We start from the raw sequence: 6816 nt of genomic DNA on the forward strand, positions 1-6816 counted from the left end.
TATGTAGCTGTGTCTCAGAGCTGACGCATGTTTTGGGCCCCTGCTTCTTTAAATAGTGTCACATTACACCTGGGAGTGGTACTCAGGGCATGTGCTCCGGGTATTATACTTGGGAGTTGTCCCTGCTGTTGCCTCATAATCTTTGTAAATGACCATTTATAATAATTATGCAATATTCTACCAAGCTGATATATATATATGTGTGATTTTCTTTTTTAAAAAACTAATTTACAAAGTTGTCCCAGGACAGCCCAATCCTTCGTTGCTTACTTTATGTAATTTACAGGCTCCAGAAAGAAACAAAACCCGCATCTGCCACAAAAATTCACCCAACTGCCATTGGATCTTTGGGCAAAGCCTTCCTTGCCTTCTCTTTGGGATAAAGATGGCTTTGGGAAAGTGAATACTTTTAATCCCTAACATCTATATTGCTAATTGGTTTTATCGGCTGACTCCTCTCTCCGCATAGGAAGATTAGGGAAGAGGGGAATGCTGGGTGGGGGTGGGATGGGAAGAAATGAAGCAGAAAGAGATGGACAGGTGACATAAGCACCAAAGATAAATGCCTGCTTCAAAATGTTTCCTAGGGTTACTTCTGAGCACTGTTCCCTTGAAGACTTTAGGGGCATCTGTTATCATTGTCTGCATTTTCAGATGGAAAATAGAAGTCACTGAGGCTAAGTGACCAATCAAAGGTCAAATGACAGTGAGTGGTGGAGCCAGCGTGAGGATTCCTGTCTGTTGGCTTTTTGTATTGGAGTGTTTTCTCTCATCAGCGCCTCTGCAGCCACTCATCAGCACCACTTTGACTCTCACAGTTGGGTGAGCTCCATAAAGCAGGCCAGGAAAACCTCCCAAGGGTCAGGTCACCGGCAGTTTATGGGACAATGCTCTGCTGCTGCTCCCAGTCACTACCCTTCACACTAAAACAGAAAACCAGGCTACTCCAGAGTTACAGGGTATCTATCCCCTTCCTTTTGGGGATAAACTCAACCTCCTCCTATGCCCATCCCCAAGCCCAGCCAGTAGAAAATAATGGAATAGTGTGTGACCTTTATGGGCCCCTCTGAGGTAGGAAAATGTATGTGGCAAGGTAGTCAGTCTAGTGTGAAGCACAGGGGCTGTGGAATCAGCTCAGTGGGTTTGATGCCGGGTTCCAGCCCCACGGCTGCTGCTAGCCCATTTAGTGCCTTTGTTCATGTTAGAGGAAGGTGTCCCCTCTAGTGGGTGCAGCCCTGCCAGCATGTGGCTGGGCAAGTGAAACACAGGCTGGATTTTGGCCTCTATTTATTCCTTTGGCTGCCAGTGCCTTTGGGGCAGTGAGTGACTTACGCAACTCTATGTAAGTGCCCTATCCAGACTTTACTATTGGTCAACCTGAGCAGGTTGCTTGACCTTTCTGAGCCTTGGTTTCCCCATCTGTAAAACAGACAAAATAACAGTACCTACTTCGAGGGTTGGCAGGAGGTTAAATGAGATCGTGAGTGTAAAATGCAAGGACGGTGCCCTGTGAATAGTAAGCCAGTGTTCTATAAAATGGCAGCTGTTATTACTAGCTGTTACAGTTATGGCTTGGCTTTATAAAACAAGTAAAGCCTATACTTTTTAATACTCTGTTGAGGAGCTTGATTTGCCTAGACACGCATTTTGTAAATGGTGGGCAATTATGAAAAAGAGAAGCAAGATTCATAATAGATTATTTGTTACATTTTAATACAAATGTCATTATGATTCTTTTTGGTTGCACCATCTGAAGTAGGCATATCTGATATGGAATTTCTAATTACATGTTTTGTGCAAGAGAGAATCATTTATAAGTTCACACCCTGACACACCCATGCCCCTGGAGAAAACTTCAAATTTTGTGCGATGTCTTGGGCATTGGGACAGACAACTTCATTCAAGTTATTATTTGGTAAATTCTTGTTCTGTTTCCTGAGTAGTAGGATGAGGGATACAAATGAATAATTCAGAAGCAAACACTGAGGAATGTCTGATTTGCATAGGCTCGTAAATGAGCCTCCTAAACTGGGTTTTAAAAGAAAAAAAAAAGTGCTCTCGGATAGTTCTCAGGCCAAGTGAGGTCCCAGCGTGTTTGGTCGGCAGCTCTGCTGTCCACCCCACCAGGACCCGATATACTGTATTCTATTATTTAATTATCCTGGTTGGAAGGGGACATATATAATTTAGCCCTGGGAGCTTTAAAAAAATTCTTGACAATTAATAAATAGAATAGTCTTTTGTGTGATTTTAAAGTCACCGGAGGGCAGACATAAATTGTCAACTTACCTAAAAGAGAAACACTTGCCTTTTCTAGAGAGGCTCACATTGTCTTCCAGGGAGTGCATCATCCATAATTTAGCATAACTGCCTTGAAAATAAGTCTATAATCCTTAAATAACTCCGTGGGTCTCTTGCCTGGAGTCTTCCTTTCAACTTCTTTCATAGAAGAATTTATAATCAAATAATAACACTGATTTTAAAACAAGCAACCATACACACATCACTCAAGAACTTACTTAAGGTTTTGGGGGAGCCATTTCATTCACCAATCAAAATGAAGCAGCAACAACAGCAAAAGTCATCATGGTAAAACTTTAACTGAGGAGAGCACCTAAGGACTCGGTGACTCAGTGTTAAATGGATGGGAAGTCAGGTCATTTCCAATTATTGTGGCCTTTTACTTCCTGTTTCTCAGGATCAAATGAGAAAGGAGTGAGTCAGGAGGTGGGCATGATAACCCTGTATATCTCTGTGGCAGGGTGCCCTATTGTGCCTCAATGCCATTCAGACAGGAGCTGTTTATAGATGGTGACTCCTTCAGGTAACTGCTTGCAGAAGTGAATGCTTGGGAGAGTTCGGTTTTTGAGCAGAAGAAGAGAAGAATTTTGTGTCTGGCCTGGGAGAGAGATGGTGGAGGGCGGATAAAGAAAATAGAAGGGGAAGGCATAAAGTCCCATCTATTTTGCTCCCCCTCCCCACCCCCCAACACTCATACAGGTTCACACTGGCTGGAGGGGTTTCTCCAGAGCCCAAACCAAAGCACCTAGTTTGCAAGCTTGCAGCTTTGGGAATCTAGACGACATGCGCAGCATTGGGTGGTGATAGGGCCAGTCTTCCCACCTCTACCTTGCTTCCAAAGGCAAGGCGGCTTTTGTATTTAGACTCAGGGCAGCCACAAGCATTCCTTCTTAAGTAGCCCATCATTATAATTCAGCACGAATGTCAGTGTGACTTGTTGCCACTCACAGGCTGCGTCTGGTGAGGTCTGGGCTATTTTGGTTTTAGAAATAATTTATAAATCATTTAGAAATATTTATAAATGACTTTAATGTACATTACACTATCTCATTTAATCCTCCCAATGACCTTAAGGAGAGTACTACTGAAGAGACAGGGACTCAATGGCCTTTTTTTTTTTTTTGAGCTGGGGTCTTGCTCCGTCACTCAGACTGGAGTGCAGTGGCGCGATCTCAGCTCACTGCAACCTCCACCTCCCGGGTTCAAGCAATTCGCCTGCCTCAGTCTCCCAAGTAGCTGGGACTACAGTCGTGTACCACCACGCCCAGCTAATTTTTGTATATTTTTAGTAGAGATGTTGGCTAGGCTGGTCTTGAACTCCTGACCTCAAGTGATCCACTCGCCTCGGCCTCCCATCGTGCTGAGATTATAGGCATGAGCCATCGCGCCTGGCCTGGTTATAAGTCTCAGGGTGACAGAGGTGGTGTGGGCTGAGCTGGGGCAGGGACTCAGGTCCTCCAGGAGACCTGCACGTAACAGGTGACCAGTGCACCCTAAAGCCACCTGATGAGCACCGCCTCGTGCCACAAGAACACTTTCTAGCCAGTGTTTTACATATTTCTTGGATCTCTGGGAATTGCCAGTAGACAGAGTATGATGCTGCGTATTGGTGATTATGAATGCTGTTGGCCATGGGTGTTAGATGTCATCATGTGCCAGGCCCCTGAAGAACACAATCTGTTCACATAGTTCCTCTAAAACTTCGTTTTCAAAACAGGTCTCATCTTTCCTTACTTCTGCCAGCGTTCTCATTCTTGATTTTACATTTGGAGAACAGAGAATCTAGACAAAATTAAGAAGAAATTGAACATTGAAAAAAAATCAATAAAATAAAATCCTGAACCCAAGAATGATCAAATTTTACTTTAAAATTTAACTCAAAAGGGATAGTTGTTCTGGCCTTCAGACATGCTTTGTAAGAAAAAAAAAGGATGGTTGTTTATGCCGTGATGGGCTAATTGAATAGGTAAACATGTGAGGAATCCTTATTTTATTTCTTACGCTAAAATGAGAATCCCTGTAAATTGGAATGTAGTCTTATCTTATCGAAAGGTTTCACTGTTCAGCTCTGCTTACCCATCAGAATCACATGGGAAATGGCAAATCACAGAGGCCCAAGCTCAACCCTATTCCTACCGAATAGAATCTCTGGAGGTGAAGCTCTGTTTTAAAATTTTCCCAACTGGTTCTGATGCGTACCAGAGTTAAGAATCAACCAGCACACTGAACTCGCAATTTTAGCAAAAACCCAAGGAACCCAGGGGCCTATGCAGAAAGCAGGAAATGCCCTCTAGTGGCCAAAAGACGCCATCATCCATTCTCCATGCTCTTGGGCCCTGGGACCCATGGCAGAGTTAGAGAGGTGGCAACAAAAGTTCCAGTTGTAAACTACAGTATAATCCACTGATTCCACCAATATGCCCCTAAAAGTTAAACTGTAAGACCCATGAGGGCAGGACTCACTTGTTCTTGTCTTGCCCATGAGGGTGCCTGGCATAATGTCTGACCCATTGTGATGGAAATCCTAGAATTAAGGCTCAATTTTATGTGTTGCCTATTAAGCCTCAATTTTACATGTTGCCTTGACATATATGGTAAAATCAGGAGGGTATCAAATGGCCTAACTGCAAGTTTCTTCTCGCCTGTTCTGCTCCCATGAACAAGGTCCCCTAGCCAAATAGCCCTCCTTATCAAATGAACCAGACAGAGTTCCTGTTTATCCCGTACTAGTGGGTTCTCTGCCTGCTTAGGGAATTATTCAAACAAGTCAATCACTTCCTCCCACAGGAACTAGGCCACCTCACCCCCTTGATACTACAAATCCTGCCTCCATGGCACTTGGCTCTTCACTCTGGCCCTGAGTGCAACCCTGTGTGGCTCTGCATGGCATGGGGTATCTTCCTCCCCCGGGCTGTGACTTCATGTGACTAACAAACTACTATCAATCTCAACTGTCTAGTAGTGAGCTGTTGTGTGTTCAGCTATCCCCATGATCCTGGAGTGAAAATTGCTCTCACCAAAGAGGAGGCAATCAAAACATCCATAGCAAGTGTTTTGTAAATATTTGTTAAATGAATGAATGGGACCAAAGGGCTGTTGACAAGTTTAAATACCTTTATTTTATTGATTTATTGTCAATTTTCATAAACTTTCAAAGTGATCTTAGGCACAAATGAACAATTCAATGAATATATTCATAGAACGTTAAGGCTGGAAGATATCTTAGAAATCTTCAGGATTAACCTTCTTGTTTTATTTCTAAGACAACTATTGCTCAGACAAGATCATGAATTCCTCAAGGACAGTGTCTATATTTTATTTATTTTTGTATTCCCTTGGCTCATCACAGAACTGGTGTACAGTACATATTTGATAAATGAATAAACAAGGATTAAGTGAATTTCCCAGGAGTACATGGTAGGCAATGACACCAACAAGGATTTAATTCCAGAATTAAACAGATATTTGTCAAATGTCTTCTGTGAGCCAGGTGCAGTGACTCACACCTGTAATGCCAACACTTTGGGAGGCTGAGGCAGCAGGACTGTTAAGCTCAGAAGTTCGAGACCAGCCTGGGCAATATAGTGAGATCCTGTCTCTACAAAAAAAAAAAATTTTTTTTTAATTAGTTGGGCATGGTGATGCATTCCTCTAGTCCCAGCCCCCAGCCACTGGGGAGGCTGAAGCAAGAGGATTGCTTGAGCCTGGGAGTATGAGGTTGTGGTGAGCTAGGATCACACCAGTGCACTCCAGCCTGGGTGACAGAGTGAGATCCTGTCTGAAAAAAAAAAAAAAAAAATCTTCTGTGAGATACAGTATCTTGCTAGGTACTCTCTGAGAATGTAACTAGGACTCCAGGCAAGGGCTACAAAAATGAGAAAGACACAGTCCTTACCCTCAAAGAACAGACACTCTGCAGCTGTGCTGTCCAATACTGTAGCTTCTAGTGACATGAGGCTATTTAAAACAAAATTAATTAGAATTAAAAATCCAGTTCCTCAGTTAAATTAGTCACATTTCAAGTATTCAATGGCTAAATGGTGGCTGGTGGCTACCATATTGAACAACAGAGCTATAGAATATTTTGATTGCTGTGGAAAGTTGTATGGGATAGCATTGCTATAGAGAGAAAAATGTCATGAACCTGAAGCCATAATAGAAGGCAGAAGATGATAACAGAGGTACAAATTAATTGCCATGGGGTCAGAGAGGATTGTTTCAGAAAGTCCCCACATTATTCCAAGTTTTCTGAAGACAGGGACTCCTAGCACTTAGCATAATGCCTGACTTGTAGAAGATGCTCAACTCATTTATTGAATGAAAATAAACAACTTATAGCAGTAGTGCTTTTTTCGTAACATTTCAAAAACAGGGGAGTATAGAGAATATATGGCCATCATCAATGTATCCACAGACCAACTTTATAAAATTTTAACATTTTGCTATATTTGTTTCAAATATAGAAAAGTATGTACATATTCCCTTAAAACAAATATAAGATCTGAAACAAATATA

At 42.4% G+C, this 6816-nt stretch overlaps 1 annotated feature.

Moving 5' to 3' along the window:
• Window positions 1939-3138: an enhancer, noted in NCBI's record as "P300/CBP strongly-dependent group 1 enhancer chr12:69461643-69462842 (GRCh37/hg19 assembly coordinates)". NCBI's record gives its function as "activates an origin of replication core promoter dependent on BRD2, BRD4, P300/CBP, MED14 and CDK7 cofactors, with strong dependence on P300/CBP, by STARR-seq in HCT116 cells {active_cell/tissue: HCT116}" and the evidence as "EXISTENCE:reporter gene assay evidence [ECO:0000049][PMID:35650434]".

Source organism: Homo sapiens, chromosome 12, assembly GCF_000001405.40.
Source record: "Homo sapiens chromosome 12, GRCh38.p14 Primary Assembly".
Lineage (NCBI taxonomy): Eukaryota > Metazoa > Chordata > Mammalia > Primates > Hominidae > Homo > Homo sapiens.